The following is a 20,426-nucleotide window of genomic DNA, read 5'->3' as shown; positions in this document are numbered from 1 at the left end:
AAGGTATGTGGCTATAAGATGTGTGGGTTCACAGGATGGATAACCACAGTGAACAGATCGATAACCTGGAGTGATATATATAAAGACAGAAAGAAGGGCAGCCTTATGCTGGTTACTTGCCCAGTTCAGGACTGCAAGAATAGACTAGATCGTCTTCTGTCCAAAGTGCATGGATATTACACAGGACCACACAACTCTGCAGCAAGATGTAGGAGTAGGCACAATTCTAACAATCCAGGCTGCCAGGCATTTTTTTCCAAGAGGTGTGTGTGCTTCTGTAATGTAAGTGTAATTTGAGAAAGGGGCCACTGTACTTCCCGTGTCTCTTTATAACAAAGTAGTAATTGTTAATAACTGAAGAATCATCACTCCTCTCTTGGGATTTTGCCAGTTCAGCAAGAAAAAAATATCAATTTTCAGATGTTATCTTCCTCCATAGCCTATCTCTTAATCCATTTTAGAAATGGAGTTCTCTGGTTTTCTTCAAGGCCAATGAACCCCTTTTGGATAGATTCTTAGAAGTACCCCTATTCTCTCCCCCAAACTAAAAGCCAGGCTGTCTTCTTCCTCACTTCCAACCAGGTTGTTCAGCTATACTTGGGTTTTGTTTCTGAATGTAGAAACAGTTACTAAATGAAATGCAAGAGGCCTCAGGACAGGAACGCATGCACTTCAATGGCTGACAGCCAGGTGATTCTGCCATGTAGAGGGATCCACATCCTTCTTGTGTGGCTACAGCCAGGTCAATGCCAGCAAAACACATACTGTTAAAACATCACTTGTGTAACACAGGCTACGGATGAAGTGCTATGCCCAGTTGCTTAGAACTGGGTGATGTAAACCTAATTCATGGTTCTTCCTGGTTCCTTGTATCGCAAGTTAAAGATATTTATCCTCTTAATGTTTGTTCTAAGAATGTACATGTTGGATACGGTATGTCAAAGTTGGTGTGGCCACAGGAGGAAAACAAAAACAAGGCTCCGAAGGAAGGTATCGTTTATTCTGACAGCTCCCAGAGAGGGGGTCACTGCACACTAAGCAGGGTCACAGTGAATGCACCAGTGTCAGTCTGGAGGCAGAAGACAGCAGTGGGGGGAAAAGCCTAGGTCAGAACCTTTGCTGGGGCTTCCATAGGAAAGGCAAGGCAGGGCAATTAAACAGCTTTGGATTGGCTGGATTGGCTAGTTTAGATAATTCCAGGGGGCTTCAGGGTATAGGGATGGTATCTAGTTGCCTGGTACCTGGCCCTGAGACGATTTTAGGGCAGGGGAAATTTTGGGTTGGTGTGTGAAAGTTTGATAAGGAGGTTGGGTGTAGATACTCAGGACTGGTTGGTTTGCATATAAAAGATGTGCTCATGGACAAGTTGTTACTACGTTTAGGAATTAACTAGCCCTGTGAAAGGCACTCTCTCGCCTGGGCCTGCAAGGATCCCAAATGCCAGGGCACTAAGAATACAGAAAATGGCCAGGTGTGGTGGTTCACGCCTGTAATACCAGCACTTTGGGAGGCCAAGGCAGGTGGATTGCTTGAGCTTAGGGGTTCGAGACCAGCCTGGGCAATATGGCAAAACCCCATCTCTACTAAAAATATGAAAAATTAGCTGTGCATTGTGGCACATGCCTGTAGTCACAGCTACTCAGGAGGCTGAGGTGGGAGGATCGCTTGATCCCAGGAGGCGGAGGTTGCAGTGAGCCGTGATCACACCACTGCACTCCAGCTTGTGCAACAGAGCAAGACCCTGTCTAAAAAAATATATATATACATACAGAAAATAAGAAAATATAGTTAATATAATTAGCCCTCTGATGAACAGACAAATACAGAATCTAAGAAAACAAAGAACAATGTAGGTATTTAAATATGACACTTGCCCTGGGCAGCATACAGGGGTCATACACAGGCTTTGCTCCTAATATCCTTCAGCACAGCTCCCTCCACTCTGATAAGGACAACTGACGTTTTTCTCAGTTTTATAAAACATGTAATGCAAACACAACTCAAATTCTCTAACCTGACTGCCTCTCTAAACCCACATATGAAGAGGTTCTAGGACTGTCATGGCCGGTGATGACATTCGTTCGTGATTATGGTTGAAGGGACCTCTGCTGCCTGCACTGCATTTGCAATAAAAAGAAAGCATGCTTCAGGTGAGGGCTGAGGCCTGTGGGGTTCTGCCTCCTCACTTTGTAAACAACCTAATTCTTCTGCTCAAGAGATGCAGCCCACTGCCATCGGCCACATGCCAGGCTGGTGGGCCTGACTCTGCAGCTTCCCAGCAGTGACAGTCGTGTCATAGGAGCTGGACTTCTGAGACCCTCTGATCCACTCTGTCCTCTTTGTCCATACACACATGCTGTCTCATCGCCTCAGCTAATCACAAAGCACAGCATCAGTCATCCCTCGCTTATACACAGCTCAGGCTCAGCATGGCTGTATCTGCAACAGAGATCAAAATGTTGAGAAATGGGCTCTTTCCCAAGGCTTCTTTTGCTGATGGTCCCATTTTGCCATGTAATGTTCAGGGTGGATTGTAAAGGATACTAATGAATGAGGTTCAAGGAAAGTGATATTATAACTGTGGCAGGTCCAAGTATCACAGTCCTAGAAGCAGATGGACATGAGTACTTCTTGGCAGGCCATCAGTTTAGTTTGGAGCTTGGTGTCACATTTGTTCTTCTGGCTGCCAGTCTCCTAAGGGAAATACTGACCTTCTTGCTTTAGTCTTCTATATTTTATTAGTTGTTCATCATTGGACAGGCTGCTTAGTATCAGAATTAAAGGGCCATTGGCTAAGAATTACCAAAAGAACTCTGGTTGTTTTCAGTTTCTCCAGTAAATTTTGGTATATGACCAAGCCATGGATTTGGTGTTCCCTTCTCTCTTCTCATTCCTTTCTGGGAAGAGTTTAGATGGGCTAGGGAAAGATATTTGAAGCTTGCTGATCCAATGTAAATGAATCCTGTGGTGGGTAAATAATTTTCCTCTCTCTTTTGCACTCCTGGGGTATTCTGATGAATAACGTTTCTCAAATAAGTTTATAAATATTCCCCCAGAGGTAAGAAGAGTATTAGCCTCATGGCAGGTGTGCCGTTAATGCATCAGTGTGTAGGGCAGAACAAAGAGGAAAGGAATTATCAAAGCCTTGAAGTTTCGCAGAATTTTCTGGAAAATTTTGAAGGCCATGGCTGGGAACAAAATACTGACGGCAGTGCTGGTGAAGTGTGGAAACAGCTTCACAAAATCAAGTTAGACCATGCCTTCGGTGTATGAGCTTTTTTTGGTTGGATGGAGGATGAGGTTTACAGTTTGTTTTGCTGCTAATTATAGCATATGTTTATTTAAGTAACTCAGCAAAAACACAATTCATCAACCTCACCAAAATTTGAAAAAAAATTTGTTCCCTCCCTGCCTCCCATAATCTGAAAGTCCAGTTTATAAATTCTAGTCTAAAAGCCTTAATAATAAATATCCATTCTCTTTTGCAACTACTGCAACTTTACCTTCAAATATCATGTTTTCCCATATATTATGTTATACTTTGTGATAACTCAATTATGGTTTTAGTTTCTTTATTTGAATTGTCTTAAAATCCTCGTATTTTTAAACAAAAGCCTCTAGTAATAGTAGAGAAAGTTCTTACTGCCACAGCGCCACCTACTGGTAGACCATTATAGGAGCAAACTATTTGGAGCTCAACTTTGACCCAGTTTGGGAGCATCCTTCTAAGTTTTGGTTTATAAAGCCCCAACTTCACTGTCATTTTGAGAAGCTAGAACTTCTTTTGGTAGCCACTAAGTCTCTTGCTGTAGTATAAAGTCAGCAAGTGAAAATGATAAAAATATGCTCTTATTCTTACCGTTACCTTAAATTGGCCCTGACTTCACCGACTTTGATTTTCTCTGTCCTATAACTGTAGCAAGGGCTTCAGATTGTGTGGGCAAGGGTTTGGATGTGGCGAAAATAACTTGGGGAGTATCCAAAGATCCTGAAAAATGGAAAAAAGTATCTCTACTTAACACTACATTTGATTTTGGCCCAAAGGACACAAGGTAAAATCTGAAACTAGGTTAAGGGGATCACCGTTCCCCCAGATAACGCCACCCCACTTCCTGTCAAATTCCAATTCACAGTCTCTCTTTTGCTTTTGAACAGCGTAAAAGTGGGTGATCAACCCAAATTCTTACCCCTCTGGCTCTGGAAAGAAAATCTGGGGAGCAATCAGGGGTTTTATGTGACTGTACTCCAGATCCACCCAGGAGCTCCAAAAACTATACAACACGTGGTGAAAAGAGTAAGAATCTGATCATGAAAATAGGCCATTCTGTTGAGAGCTGCCAGGCAAGTAATTTTGCTTGAAAGTTAAAGTGACATCTAGATCCTTAGGGTTTTGGCTCCACAGGGTTTACTATATAGTAATGTTCCTTTCTCTTGTTGTCTCAGGGACCCAACGAAGTGGGCAGTCAGAGTCACACTGATGTGCTGTTGCCCCATCCCCATCCAAAAAGCACAAAGCTATAGTACATTTTACTAGGGCCAGAAACAACGAACATTTAATAAGGACACTGCTCACTGCTTGCACATGAAATCCATCATTGATTTTCTAAAGGTGGTAAGGTCCCTTCCACCAATTGCAGACTACTAAGAGCTTAAAAATAAAAGGAGGGAGAGGTTGGGCTCCAGAACAGGAAAGGCTTAGGCAGAAGCTAAGGGGCAGGGATGAGGGCAGCTGCTGCGGCTTCAGACTCCTACAGTAATGGTAGTTTACATTATCAAATCAGCATGAGAGAAATGTCAGTTATCTAATCTGTTGCTCTCTGCTATTTTAGTTTACCATCACCACCTCAGAACTCAAGAAGAACACCACAGTTATAAAGAAGGAAGGCCAACGACTTTGGCTTTGGGCCAAGAGCTCTCACTCCAGCTTCCTTCTCAAGTTTCCAAATTTGCTGACTCTAAAACTTCCCTTCCACAGCAAACTACTAATATAAAGCCTGAGGTTGGTAAGTCAAGGAAAAACCACATTCATGGAGTACTCCAGGTACTCTGCTAAGAGCTTTCAATTCACTATCTCATTTAATGTTCATAATACCAAGAATGCCATTAAGCCACCATCTATAGGAAAGGACTCTGAGTTGTTTTTCAACAGTGCCCTGGGACGAATCACTATCTCATTCAGACTGCGAGAGAACAGTCACACAGCCGAAAGCCTGGCAGGCAAGACTTACAGGAAGAATTAAGGAACTAGAAAACAGACTTCTGCTATAGTCTTGGACTCAATATCATGTTTAACGGATTGAATTAACTGGACCAGATGGGCTAAATACCTTTCAAAGATGGTTTAGGGATTCCTACATAGGCACACGCTTCCCAGGTCTCAGGGAGAGGTGTAAACTTTTAGACTTATTATGAGAGTTGTTCTTCTTTCTTGTGGGTTTACAGAAAAATGTTGCTACTAGGAACCTAATCTCCTTTTTGTAGGATATCCTTCTGAACCCCTAGGATAGAACTGCTTTAAATCTACTTGTAATACAGAAAGCAAATGATTTTCAGTTCAAATGTTGGTGTGCCTGGCAGTTACTTACTAGTTGTACAAATAACTGTAACAGATTTAGTTACTAATGCTGTGAAGGTAAAATGTTCATTGGGAAGTATAGAAAATGCCTGAAGCTTACTATATCATGCACCTCAGTGTTTCTTTAACTAACGATCAGGAACACCAGAAAAATCAGAGTAGAAACAAATTCGAAAAGTTCAGAGGCCCAGAGCCTATTGGTGACAAAAGCAGTAAGTAATAAACTACCTAAACAATGAAGAAGAATGATCTGCTTGTTACCATAAAGTAGAATTAGCAGGGAAAGGTCACTATGAGAAGCCAGGAAGAAATACAACTTCTTCTTCTTGCTCTGTGGTTTCATACTGACACCAAGTTCAGTATGAGTGCCACAAAATCTTCTAAATAACGTTACCAAGAGTCAGTAAACAGTAATTCACGGTCAAGATGCTGCAAGTATGACCCACCTGACCACCCAAGTTTCCAACTGGCTCAGCTGGAGTGCATGCAAAGTTCAATTCAACACTTAATTTATCAATCAGACACGCAAATGAAGTATAGTCAGGGAACTCCTTGGGTTTGTGAACTTCTCCAGCAGAAGCAAACTTGAAGAGCCAAAGGGGTTCTCATAGGGTATCTCACAGAAATCCTTCACACTTGGCCATGATTCCCTTGTGCCATTACTTCGCAGTTCATAACAATCCCAGGTGAAGGTTTACTTTCTTAAAAATATAGTTAACTACCATGTTCTAGTAATTCTTTTTTTCTTTCCTTTTTTTTTTTTTTGGAGGAGTGAGGTGAATAGATACCCATCAAGTATTTCTTGAATTCAGGTTCTAAAATGTTCAGTGGAGAACACATCCTTATACTCCTATCATACTTCCATGGATCAGTGTGGCTGGGAACTGGGGCATGAGCAGGGAGTGGAAAGAGAAAAGGTTATGAGGTAGTAGTGGCCCGGGTGTAGTTACAGTAGTTATAGCGCCTTCCCTATATATTGCTTCATTTAATCCTTACTATAAGCCTTATGAGATACATATAATTATCCCCAGGATGTAGTCAAGTAACTGGCTTTTTTTTTTTTTTTTAAATTAGAGGTAGGGTCTTGCCCTGTCACCCAGGCCAGAGTACAGTGGCAGGATCACAACTCACTGCAGCCTTGAATTCCTGGGCTCAAGTGATCCTCCCACCTCAGCCTCTTGAGTAGCTAGGACTAGCGGCATGTCACACCACACCTGGCTAATTAAAAACTTTTTTTTTTTGTAGAGATAGGGTCTCACTTTGTTGCCCAGGCTGGTCTCAAGAGATCCTCCTGCCTCGTCTTTCCAAAGCATTGCGATTATAGGCATGAGCCACTGTACCTGGCCTGAGCTTCTCAGAGATCTTGTAATCATTTTAAGGTGTATTATGTCAATCCCTGACCCCTAGCCACCCAGCCCCCTCCTGCTTAAAACTCCTCGATGGCTCCTTATTGCTGTCAGGGCAATGACCAAGTTCCCTACATGGCTCATAAAATGGCCCTACTACCTCACAACCTTTTCCCCTTCCACTCCCTGCTCATGCCCCAGTCCCCAGCCACACTGATCCATGGAAGCCTGTGGAACACAGCACGTTTTCACTTCCCCCCGGTCTTTGCTTGCACTGTTCCCTCTTCCTAGAACTCCTTCCACCTGTGCCTTTCCTCTCCTGGCTGACTCGTCCACACTCCAGTGTCAGCTTCGATGTTTTTCCTCTAGGAAGCCGTTCCCAGTCCCTAGAGATCTGGGCTCGACTGCTTAGGTTCAAATATGCCCCACTGCTTACTAGTTGTGAGACTTCAGACAAGTTTGATAATCTGCCTGTGCCTTTATTTCTTCAGCCATAAATGGGGAATATAGTTCCTACATTATGTGCCTGTTCAGTGAACAAGTGAGTTATTACACATAAAGCATTCAGAACTGTGCCTGACACATAGCAAATCCTCAGTCAATGTAGTCTGTTGTTATTCTATGTGTCTCAGGCATGCAATAATACCCACTTTGCAGCACATTCCCTGCTGACTTTTCTATCTCCTTTAAAGTTCCCTAAGAGCAGACTGTCTTGTTCACCCGGTGTGTATCTCAGTGCCCAGCATGTTATTTTCTCTAGAGTAGGTACTCAATAATAAATATTTGTTCAATTTTCTGACTTAATAGTTCATTTTTATTAATTATTATTCATAGAAACTATCTCTGGACCAACACTGCCTAACTTATCTGTATGCACCTACACTGAGAGGCTTCAGGCTGTCAGTAACAACCTGTCCACAGACCATGGCATTAGCACAACACGTAGATCAAAGACCAGAGCTCCAGCTCTGCATCCACGCATAAACTTCAACAAGCCCTCAACTTTCTGAGCCTGTTTCCTCATGTGGAGGGGATAAGATCAAACTCACAGGGCTGTGTGAGAATTAAGTGAGAGATACAACATGCGGAAATACAACATAGACAGTGAAATACCAGTCAATATGGGACATCTGTATTAAATGCTGCAAATCTGACAGCATTTTATAAGATGGCGAGGTTTCATTTACCCCAAGCTAGTTCCAGAAAATGCCTATTTTAGGCTGCCAAGACTATTTTAAAGAAGAATGCAACAAAAATGCCCATTTGCCAATGTTTTGAGAGGCTAGATGTTTCATTCTTTGAACTGGGGCTCTCTTTGGAGGCAGAAGAGAGAATGTGCCAAGCCCAACACCTTCCCTGTCATCTATCCAGTTGCAGAAGAGCTGGTGCCCACTAACCTGTAGAGCTGGTGATGGGCACAAAGGCTGCAGGGTTAAGGCTGCTCTGGAGTCCATTCAGCTGCCCTTCCGCGGAGGACCCTCTGAAACACAAAGGAGCTTGGTCAGACCTGCAGGCGGAAAGGTGAGGTCAGGTGCAGGACCTCTGATGGCTTCGCTTCTTGCTCTTGGTGCTGCTTCTCCTGTGGCTCATTCACTCACTTCCTTCAAGGCTTTGTTCAAATGTCACCTTATCAGAGAAGACTCTATGACAAACCTCCACACTTCTGAAATAGTATATATTTTGAGATTTATTGTTAATTTCTCCCTACTGAAATGTAGTATCAAGAAAGCATGGGCCTTCATCATTGCTGTGTCTCCAGTGCCTAGAATAGTGCCTGACACATAACAAGTACTCAATAAATAGTTGTTTATTGAAGGAAAAAATTATATTTCTGGCATTGACTTACCTAAATCATATGAAAACACATTTTTAAAAAAGCAAGTCTCATGTGGAAGAGTGGTTTTCAACTGGGGAAGTGGGGAAGGAGAGATTATGTGTCCCCTGAGCCAACCAGGGACACCCAACAATGTCAAAACATCTGTGGTTATCACAACTGTGGGGTGCTACTGGCAGCTAGCAGGCAGAGGCCAGGAATACTGCTACGCATTCCACAGCACACAGGAAAATGCCCCAAACAAAGAATTATCTACTCCATGGTGTCAATAATCGCAAGACTGAGAAATGTACACAGCATCTCCCCTCATGCCAACTTTGACAAGAGATATGACAGAGTATATCTGATTCTTTGGGCAGAGGTTCCCTAGCCATATGTCTCAGAAATCCTAGGACTAGTCTGATGCCCTACAGCCCAAGTCAAGCCTCCCTGTTAAAGGCGCTTACAGCTCTAATTCCTTCTTTGCATTTTTCAAAATTATAATTATGAAACTGTGTAACTGGTTGCTTAGTATCCATCACCCTTGCTAGAATGTAAGCTCCATAATGACAGAGATTGTATTGGTCTTATTCACTGCTGCTGCATTTTGCACACATCAAATATTTATAAATTTTTTTGAAATATTTGTAATATTTTTGTTGTATATTTATAATATAATATTTTTGTTGGGTCTATCTGCCTTGATTTTAGTTGATGTGTAAAAGTTGTACCTGAGAGATCAAAGCTTTCAACATGCTCAGTTCTTTGTTTTTGTTGAGCAACATCCAACCCAACCTTTAGTATCTCTCTCCCGACACTATTTTTCCAGTCAGTCATTCACACAAGAAATATTTATCAAGCATTTCCTGTGTTCTGTACTAGTGAGGAGATACGTTAAAGCACGTACATAAAACACAAAGTGTGTGCTAAATGCTAAAGAGAAAAAGCACACAGTGTTATGAGAACGAGGCAGGGGAACCTGGTTTAGATGATGAGAACAGTGGTCAAGGATGGTCTTTCTGTGGAAATAATTTCAAGGGAGTCATGAAGTTAGGAGAGGTAGGCATTAGCCAGGAGGAGGGAGAGGAAAGAGCGTTTCACGAGGAAATTGCATATATAATGACTCTGAGGCAGAAAGGGGCTTGGAATGTCCCAGGAACCTTTAAAGACCAGCTAAGGAGATAGGATAGGGGTGGGGACAGTCAGGCAGTGTTTGCTGAATGTCTTTGACAGGAATGACCTGGGGTCACTTGTTAATCACACAGCTTTCCAGGTGAGCCTGGGGACAGTGCCCCAGGTGCCCAGGTGATTCATATCATCATTGGCTAGTAGGTAAAGAGCAAAGTGGTATGAGGTGCACCTGGAGAGTCAGGTGGTGTCTGAGGTGCCCACACAGTCCCTACAACCCTGAAAGAGACATGCCGCTTGAGAAGATTCTAGCCCAGCATTGGCGCAAGGATCAGACTGTCTCATAGCCCCTCCCCTCTGGCAAGCAATTTGGGGCCTACCCTCTCCTTTCCACTTTCATTTTGAGGACAAGGGAGCCACAGAGGCAGGAGAGAAAGGGGCAGAGAGCTTCTCCCTTTTCCCATCAGCCTCGGCCTTGGACAGCCACATCGGAAATCCTCACGCATTTTATTTCAGCCCCTTATGGGACCCAAAAACTCTCCCAAAGCATCTGTAGATGATGTTTGCTCTTCCATGTCCAAGTGAAAAAGTTCTGGAGGGCCTAAGATAAGCTCTTTCCTTTACAGAAGTTAAAAACCATTAGAGCCACTGTGCTTGCTTTAGGAGCAGCTGAGTGGAGCAAAGCCCTGGGCTGGTCTCAATTTCACAAAGTATTAGTGGTTTAAAAAAAAAAAAAAAAAAAGGGAAGAAGCCGGCAAAATCTTTGGGTCAGTAGTAGAAACTGGTAGTGAATAATAGAAAACTGCTTGAGGGATGAGAAGAGTCCCTGGGGGCTTAGACTCAATGAATTCTGGGTCTTTAAAACTCTTGAAACTTTTCCCTCTCCTCTCTGGAACCCCCAATCCACCCTTCACCTTCTTAGGCTTTATCCCGTTCTTTACTGAAGATCCTCTAACCCTATGGTCCCTGGTTCCCAGTTTCACTCACTCTTCCATCCTCTTCCCTCCCATCAACTCCCATCAAAGGCCTTGGAGACCACCACAGATTCAGAATTTGAACACTTCTAATGATTCTACTGCTTCTAGCATAGAGTCCCCATTCTCCCTGTGATGTAGAAATGTGTCCACAGCAATCCAAGGGGAAACTTTTGAGTGAATTTTTCCATGGAAACACTGGTACACAAAATGGTTTAGGTCTGTTATTACTACTTTAGGCACATTATGGGTAAATATGCTTTTGTTGTGATAACATCATTTCCTTGGGAAAATATATTCCAACTTCTGGACAACCTTCCCCTAAATGAGAACTTTTGAAACTCAGCTTGTCTAGAGCCTGCATGTCAACTTGCACTTGCCCCTGCAATGATTCTTTGCTGCTTTCCTAGGAATACATGTGTTTTAGGAAATATTTACGTTGGGAGGTATGTATGTGTTCCCTTGGTTGTCTTTAAGTCAGTTACTATGGTTTAACACCTGGATAACAAGACCTACCTTATAGGCTTTTGAAGACTACGTAAGATGGTGAATATAAAGCACATCTAAGCAGTGACTGGTGTTATATTATGGACTAAATATACATGAACTATTACTAGTAGTAGTATTGTCATTTTTTACTTAGCAATACTGCTTAACACTCTCTGCATTCACTATAAGTCTATCTACATACAGAAATATCAAATTGAATGACTCATTGACTCCAACATCAGTCTGAAATATTAGTGCTAAACTACAGAAGAATGGCCATAGGCATTCTGAACCTGGAAGTTAACAGCAATTTGCTATTAAAGTTACAAGGTAATTAACTGGCAGCCTATAAGACAAAAATCTCATAGTAAAAATTATTCTTAAGATCCCTTAGGAAGAGACGCCACATTTGAGATTGACAGGTTATCTCTTAATAAATCTAATATGTATTTTTCTGCCAGTGTCAGAATGATTTATTCAACTGTGCACCAAATGAAGTAGGTTTGTATTTAGAAAAGTAGGCTTGTATTATGGGATCATGTTGTATAAACTATGTATTTTTATTTTTACTTTTTTGAGACAGGGTCTTACTCTGTCACCCAGGCTGGAGTGTAGTGGCACAATCACAGCTCACTGCAGCCTCAACTTCCTGGGCTCAGGTGATCCTCCTATCTTAGCCTCCCAAGTGGCTGGGACTACAGGCGTGTGGTACCAGGTCTGGCTAATTTTTGTATTTTTTGTGGAGACAGAGTTTTGCCATGTCACCCAGGCTGCTCTCAAACCCCTGGGTTCACACGGTCTGCCTGCCTTGGCCTCCCAAAGTGCGGGGACTATAGATATAAGCCACTGCACCTGGCCTAAAATATGTATCTTTAAGCGTGAGAATAAGAGTGCAGTGGGATGCCCTTGCTATAAGAAAGTCCCACGGGAACTGAAACTGACTGACTGGAGTGATATTTCTCCCATCTTATCCTAAGTGTAAAATCAATTGGAATCAGCCACTTTGTTGAAATTACAATCAATTTCTCTCTGAATAGCTGAATGTATAAAGTTAAATATGTGTGTGATACAGTTCCATTATCTGATGTTCTCTGGTCATAGTACACCAGAATATAAAGAAGTGGCTAAAGATGAAGTTAGAAAAACTGGAGTTATAGAAGTATCAAGAGCTTGACAGTGAGAAATACTGAAAAGATGGGACAAAAGGTGCCATTAACTTTACACTACACAAAAGTTAGAGTTCAAACATGAGAAGAGTGATAGATGTGAATATCTAGTCCTTAATTGTTCTTCTTGGAAATGGTACAACTGTCTAGGAGATGGAAAGCTGCTTGATGTAGTGAAAGGTTGAGAGTAAGAAGCTTACTACAATCTCAGCTCTGGTAATGGTCTTATTTAGGTTCTTCTCTGAGGATAAACTGTCAATGATTATTAAAAACTGCTTAAGCCAGGTGCGGTGGCTCACACCTGTAATCCTAGCACTTTGGGAGGCTGAGGCAGGAAGACCTGAAGTCAGGAGTTTGAGACCAGCCTGGCCAACATGGTGAAACCCCATCTCTACTAAAAATACAAAACTAGCCAGGCGTGGTGGCTCATGCCTGTAAAACCAGCTACTTGGGAGGCTGAGGCAGGAGAATCACCTGAACCCAGGAGGCAGAGGTTGCAGTGAGCCAAGATTGCGCCATCACACTCCAGCCTGGGTGACAAGAGTGAAACTCCCATCTCAAAAAATAAATAAATAAATGAATAAATAAAAATAAAATAAAATAAAAACTGCTTAAGAGCACACTGCCTGATTAATTTAGCCACTTAAAAACTATAATAAGACACATGACCACATATAGTAGCAACAAAGAATTCGAAGAACTCAATGAACAGTCGCATGCTCCTCTCTATGAAGGCAAAATCTCTTTCCTTGGGACATGTTCACAGCTGGCAGCTAAAGAGTTTACCTAAATATTACATGTACACTTCCTAACCCTGAATTTGACTCACTTGCTTCACATCTATCTACTCATCTTGCCTCTGCCATTTTTCTGAGGTCTGAGAAAGCACCTCAAATGAGCATTATTCCTACTCTGAGGGAACAGCTCTCCTGTGCCTTTCAAAGAAGTTGTTCAAAGATGCATTAAAAACAAATAATATCCTTGTAAGATGAAATGCCTGTATTTCATCTTATAGGGATATTACATCCTGTATTAATTATTTTGAAAAATTTTTTCTAGTACAAGTCTCTATTTAAGGAATATAAGCCAATCAACTGGCTGGCTAGGAATTCCACTGGCATCAAGACCACACCATATAGCCAGCCTATATAACTATATAACATATATTTATACATAAAACCCAGTCCAGGAGGGTTATAATGAGCAATAGCCCCACCATCCCTTTTGCTGGTAAGGTTTCTGACATGTTTTTCGTGGATCTTCATTTCTTTATTTGTGGTTTCCTCTGTTCTTCTTTTGCCCATTATTTTGATCAGTGGAAACTTTTCTGAAAGCGATATGCTTTCTTTAAGGTCTGTTTTGTTCATTACTTCACAAGGTTGACTGTGGTTTGCTGCTATATTATTTCTGTTTGGGTTCTTTTCAAGGCTTTCCACATCCCCAACACAGGGGTACTAGTTTTCTATTTCAATGGTTTAGTATAAGTTTATCTTGGACTCATGCCACCACATCAGAGATGACCTTTCTGTAGAAGGAAGGACTCACAAAAGGAAAATGCTCAAGATTTTACAGGAAGAGCAAAGCTACAAATGCTGATCTTACCAGGGCTGTGGCAAAACAGACATGGCTGCATCTGTGAAGGTGCTGAAAACAAACACCCCCAAACCTGATCGTTTTTATAAAATACAGCAATAACCAACCTCTTTCAATTCCCAAGAAAAAAGAAACAAAACAAAACAAAAAATACATACCCTGACTTTTCCTACCAAACATTTACTCATAGTAAGTAGCCTACAATTTTCGACATATCCACACACACACAGGTATACGCTGCTTCTTCCTTTTATCTCTCAGTCTAGGGTTTATGATTCTGAAATGGAAGTTAATGCTAATCCTTAGAAAATAACAATTAGAACATTATTAATTAGGGTCAGGTTCCAAAACCAAATCATGAAACATTTAGTGAAGTCAACTTTTGTGCAGTAAAGGCACTCAGGACTCCATTTTATAAATATACTGCATATTATCTATTCCCCCGTATTTCTGGTTATAGTCCTCTTCATTCCTGAGTAGGCCCTTTTCTCTTTTTATTCATTAGTCTTTCCAGAGGCCATCCCAGTACTTGTCAATTTCATTCGTTCCTTCAACAAGTATTTAATGACCCCCTACCACATGCCAGATACAGTTGGAAGCACTGTTCTCTAATGTTCTGCCATGCACCTGACTGTTGTAGATTTCTGTATTTTTTTCCTTTCTATATTTTAATTAGTTTACTCTGTTGTCCTTTCATAGCTTTTCGAATTAAACAATTAACTCACTTATTTTTAATCCTTCTTGTCTTTTAAATAAATGTATTAAGAGTTTATTTTTGAGTGCAGTTTTGGTTATTCCACAAATCTGATGTGTAGTACTTTTAGAGCCATACAGTTTAAAATATTTTATAATTTTCATTATGATTATCTCTTTAATGCATGAGTAATAGGTACTCTATTTTTTTAAAATTTCCAACACATGGATTTTTTTTAAAAAAAAACCTCTTTTTATTATTTCTAACTTAAGTGCTTTGTGGTTGAAGAGTGTGAACCGTTTGATATTGATATTTTGAAGTGCACGGAGCCTTCATTTGTGACATAGTATGTGCTGAATTTTTATAAACATTCCACATATACTCGAATACCATTGAGTGCAGGAGTCCATGCATAGCTGTAACTGCTTTTCAGGCTGTGAGCTGTGATTCATAATTGGGTTGTAAAATGAATTTCAGGGCTCAGAATCAGCGTTAAAAAATAGAAGACAGTATTTAGTGAAATTTTAATTGCACATACACACATACATATAGATAAGTATTTTTGCTGGGTTGCATATAAAATGTTTTTTCTTTTTTTAGATCATTTCGCCCATGACATACCCCTCAGGAAGTCCTGAGAACATGTGCCCCTAAAATGTATTTTCTATTTTAAGTGCTGGTCCAAAAAGATGAAAACCCACTTATTAAAGCAAAATGTTAATTCTGCATTTCAAATATTCAAGTCTTCAGTAATTTTTGAGTTGTTACTGACAGAAGTATATTCAAATAAATTACCCACTAATATTAATGATTTGCAAGTTTCTCCTTATAATTTTGTCAGCTTTTGGTTTCTATATTTTTAAGTTTATGATGTTAAGTGCATACAAGTGCTTTTCTTTATTCCTTAGTGATTTTTGCTATATTTTATCTGGCATTAATATTGCTATACCAGTTTTCCTTCTGATTAGTATTTCATAATTGCTCTTTTCCAACCTTTTATTGTCTATCTTTTGTTGATATTTTACTTTATGTATGTCTCTTTCATGTAGCCAATAACTTAAGTTTTTAAAAAGATGCAATTTGATCATCTCTTTTTTAATGGAAGAGTTTAATTTGTCAACATTTATTTTGGTTACTTGTATATTTGGACTCATTTCTACTATCTTAGTTTTTGTTTTCTATTTATCATCCTTTTCTTTTGCTTTTTTTTGAGACAGAGTCTTGCTCTGTCGCCCAGGCTGAAGTGCAGTGGCGTGTGATCTCGGCTCACTGCAACCTCAGCCTCCTGGGTTCAAGAGATTCTCCTGCCTCAGCCTCCCGAGTAGCTGGGATTACAGGCATGCGCCATAACGCCCAGCTAATTTTTTGTATTTTTAGTAGAGATGGGGATTCACCATGTTGGCCAGGCTGGTTTCGAACCCCTAACCTCAGGTGATCCACCTGTCTTGGCCTCCCAAAGTGCTAGGATTACAGGCATGAGCCACTGCGCCCAGCCTCCTTTGCTTCTAACTTTCCTATCTTCCACTGAATTAATAAAGTATCTACATTTCCCTTTCCCTGCTCTATTGGTTTGAACACTACAGCCTGCATCTTAATTATTTAGCTATTTTTTCCTAAGTGTAAAGTCATTCAGTATTTCTGTCCTGACCTCAAAGTCGACACGGACCCTTATCAGTTAAATACTCTAGGTCCCTGTATCTTATCTTTGTTATCTCTAAATGGTTTTCATCTTCTTAAAGACCAATAATTATTTTATAGTCATTAACATTTATTGACATTTTACGGATTTGTTGTATTTCATTGTTTCTTGTTGCCTAATACTTCTGGATTCACTTCTATCTCTATACAGTCTTTACTATTTCCTAGTTTGAATTTCAGGTATACTCTTAGACTTTGAATGTCTCAAATTATTTTGCCTTCACTATTTTTTTTTTTTTTTTTTTTTTTGAGATGGAGTCTCGCTCTGTTGCCCACGCTGGAGTGCAGTGGCACGATCTTGGCTCCCTGTAACCTATGCCTCCCAGGTTCAAGCAATTCTCCTGCCTCAGCATCCTGAGTGGCTGGGATTACAGGCGTGCGTCACCCCGCCCAGCTAATTTTTTGTATTTTTAGTAGAGATGGGGTTTCAACGTGTTAGCCAGGATGGTCTCGATCTCCTGACCTCGTGATCCGCCCACCTCGGCCTCCCAAAGTGCTGGGATTACAGGCGTGAGCCACTGTGCCCAGCCGCCTTCACTCTTGAATGCCAGTTTAGCTATGTATAAAATTCTAGACTGAAAGTTTATTATCAACACTTCGAAGTAATTGGCTACTGTTTTCTAGCACTCATTATTGCTGAGGAGAAGAATGCTGGTACTCTGTGTTCCTTTGTCATTTACGCAGATTTTCTCCCTGGTAATATTTAGACTTCTCTCTACGCTTAATGTTCTGGTTTCTTGCTACTATGATGTGTCTAGAGGTACATTTATTTTGGTACATGAATGAATTTTTTAGCTGAGGACTCATGTCTTCTTCAATTCTGGAAAATTCTGTCATTTTCTAAAAGCGTTGCTTGTCCAATTATCCTTTAGGTCTTTTTTGTGATACTCCTATCAGAGTCACATATCATGTTCCACGAGATACTCCTATTAGACACATGATCTAACATGTCTGACTGTTTTAAAGTATTAATTTATCTGTAAAGAATTCACGTTCCAGTTCTTGATTTTCCTGGCAATCTTTCTTAGAATTAGATTTTTTCATGTGTTTTGGAATTTTGGTTTGCGGGCTTATTTTGAATGGGAATCATTCCCCGCCCTGGTCTCTGTGCTTGCTCATTCCTCCGTGTCTGAAGATTATATAGTTGCCTTCACCCAGACCCCTGACACCAGCCCCAAACCAGGCATTATGGTGGCATTTTGGGGCACTTGCCTCAGTGATATTTAGAAACCAAAGGCAGTTTTGAGACAGGAACAGTTGGAAGGGTATGTCATTGCCTTCCTGACTCTGTAAGGCCCATAGTCTCATATAAAGACAGACTCAGTTAGTCGGTTCATGCCAGTTTTACTACTCTCCCATTAGGAGGGCACACTGCATCCTTCAGTGCAGGGTTTTCAACCTTGCCACTACTGACATGTTGGGCTGGATAATTCTTTGTAGTGAGGGACTGTTCTGCGCTTTGCAGGATGCTCAGCAGGATCTGTAGAGTCTACCCACTAGATGCCAGTCGCACTCCCCCAGTTATGACAAGTATAAATGTCTCCAGATATTGCCAAATGTCTCCTGGGGGGGAAACTGTCCCAGGTTGAAAATCAATTATTTTCAAGTAATGAGCGTGGCTTTAGGTTCTCCTCTTGTAGGGCACTTTCAGCTCCCAATATGACACAGGAGCTTGCCACTGCCTGCTTCAGAAAGCCTGTAGCTTCAGCTTCATTCATTGATTCTCGTTTATTTTGGTATATTTTGGGGCCAAGGAGATATGTGCCTTGTTTTGAAGCACAGCTAAGTCCCGTAGGTTTTCTTCTTTAAATGTTCATCCATCATAGCTATGTATTTGCAGCACAGGGGGGAAATGGATGTGAAAGTGTGAACTTTGGGAGCCAACTGGCCTGGAAGTCAGTAACTCCAAATCTAATTTTTTCTTTTGTTTGAAACTGAGCCTTTGTCTTCAATTGCCTTTAGAGTTATTAGTGTTGAGGAAATCAGAATATGTTTAAATTTCCACAGGCTCACCAGCAGAACCAAATCACACTTATAAATAACAACCTACCAACAAAACAAATGTGATTTCTTTTAGTAGGAAACAAGAGCAGCTGCAGAATACAACTACGCTGACCAGCAGACATTGGATGCAATATATGTCAGGGAAACACATTATCTCATTTAACCCTATGAACAACTCCAAGACATAAGTGATATTTTATAGATAATGAAACAGAAGCTTAGTGCTATCTCTAGAAAAGTTAGTTAAGCCAAGGAACCAGAATCCGAATCCCATTTCAAATTCCAGGCTATTAACAACTGTACTCTACTGTCTCCCATACGCTACTCTACAAGGCATAAATAATGAGATCATTGTTATTTACTGATCTTTGATGCATATGACTTGACACAGAATACCATGTCACCACCACCACTGCCATCACTATCTCCACCACTTCCATCTCCACCATCACCACTGCCATTTGCTGAGAACTTACGAATATAAGCTATCTCAGGCACTGGGAATGAGTTTATCCCTTCTCTCAAAAACAAACCATGCAAGCAGAGATCTGATCTGTCTTGTCCACTGGTGTTATCACCATTGGACACTGCTGTCTAGGGCAATGTTGAGCAAAACAGACATTCAATATATATGTGATGAAAGGGTGAAGACAGGGTATCTGTCTTTGAGAGAGCTATAGAAAGCAGAACATATGAAAAAAGGAAAAATAAAACCAGGAGGTAGATGGCAGAGTCAGATGAGGAGGTGACGAAGGGGCAGCTGGGAAGGATGCACCAAGGTGAGACACTAAAACCCAATCTTGAATTAAAGGCAGGACTTAGGTTCAAGAGGCCTAAGGGCACTCTGCAGAGATGACATGGATATGTAGGAACAAAGAATGGGAAGCATGTGTGTGGAACAGTCTGTGTGCAAAGCGGTGATAGAGTATGAAGAAGGCAGGAGACAGGAGAGAGGTCATATTGCAGAAGGCTTGAATGTCAGAGTCAGGACTCTCAACTTTATCTTGTGCGCACCTGGAAGCCTCCAAAGATTTCAGAAAAATGGGCCAGGTGCAGCGGCTCACGCCTGTAATCCCAGCACTTTGGGAGGCTGAGGTGGGCAGGTCATGAGGTCAGGAGATCAAGACCACCCTGGGCAACACGGTGAAACCCCGTCTCTACTAAAAATACAAAAAATTAGCTGGGCTTGGTGGTGCATGCCTGTAGTCCCAGCTACTCTGGAGGCTGAGGCAGGAGTATCGCTTGAACCTGGGAGACAGAGGCTGCAGTGAGCCAAGATCGCGCCACTGCACTCCAGCCTGGGTGACACGGCGAGACTCCATCTCAAAAAAACAAAAACAAAAACAAAAAAGATTTCAGAAAAATAGTTTGAAGAACTATTTTGGAGACGATTTTTAAAAATGGTTCCTGGGCCTACTCATGTGTTTAAGAAGAACCAATTTAGGCAGTTTGAAAATTTCCACTTGTTCTATGTTCTAGTTAAATCTTCTTTTTCTTCAAGAAGAACCAATTTATACTTGATATTTTTCAAAATATTATCTTTCATCTAGTTTTTAAAATTGTACATAGTGTGCCGTGTTCTCCTAATTTTTCAGTCTCTTCTATATCTACTTTTAAAGTATTTTTCTTATGTTTACTGCTCTTATTCTTCTGGCAGAAGTATGTTTATTTTCTTCTTCTGGGTTCCCCTGACCCAAACTAAATAAGGTTTTGAACTTAACTAATTTTACTGCTTGCTTTTCACTTTATATTACTTTTCTTCTTAATTTCCTTAAATCTGTTTTTCTTAGCTTTGTTTTATGGTTCCTTTTCTAACTTCATGTGATAAAAGCTTACTTCAGTTATGACAAATATGCGGCCTATTCACGACTCTCAGCATCTTCCCTATGTGTGGCGGATGCTACTAACCTATCAAAGCACTCTTTTTTGCTGAGCTCAGGGAAGTC

General features: G+C 41.0%; 1 protein-coding gene across 1 annotated transcript in view; it reads right to left on the bottom strand.

The window, feature by feature from the left end:
- The window catches only part of TTLL5 (tubulin tyrosine ligase like 5), a 293,834-nt gene that overhangs the window by 44,537 nt on the left and 228,871 nt on the right, over positions 1–20,426 (bottom strand). Inside the window, exon 31 of the mRNA NM_015072.5 lies at positions 8,319–8,401. Within this exon, the coding sequence (NP_055887.3) occupies positions 8,319–8,401 (83 nt within the window). The remainder of the gene's footprint in view (positions 1–8,318; positions 8,402–20,426) is intronic.

This window comes from Homo sapiens, chromosome 14 (assembly GCF_000001405.40).
Source record: "Homo sapiens chromosome 14, GRCh38.p14 Primary Assembly".
NCBI lineage: Eukaryota > Metazoa > Chordata > Mammalia > Primates > Hominidae > Homo > Homo sapiens.
This window is presented reverse-complemented; position numbering and strand designations above follow the sequence as displayed.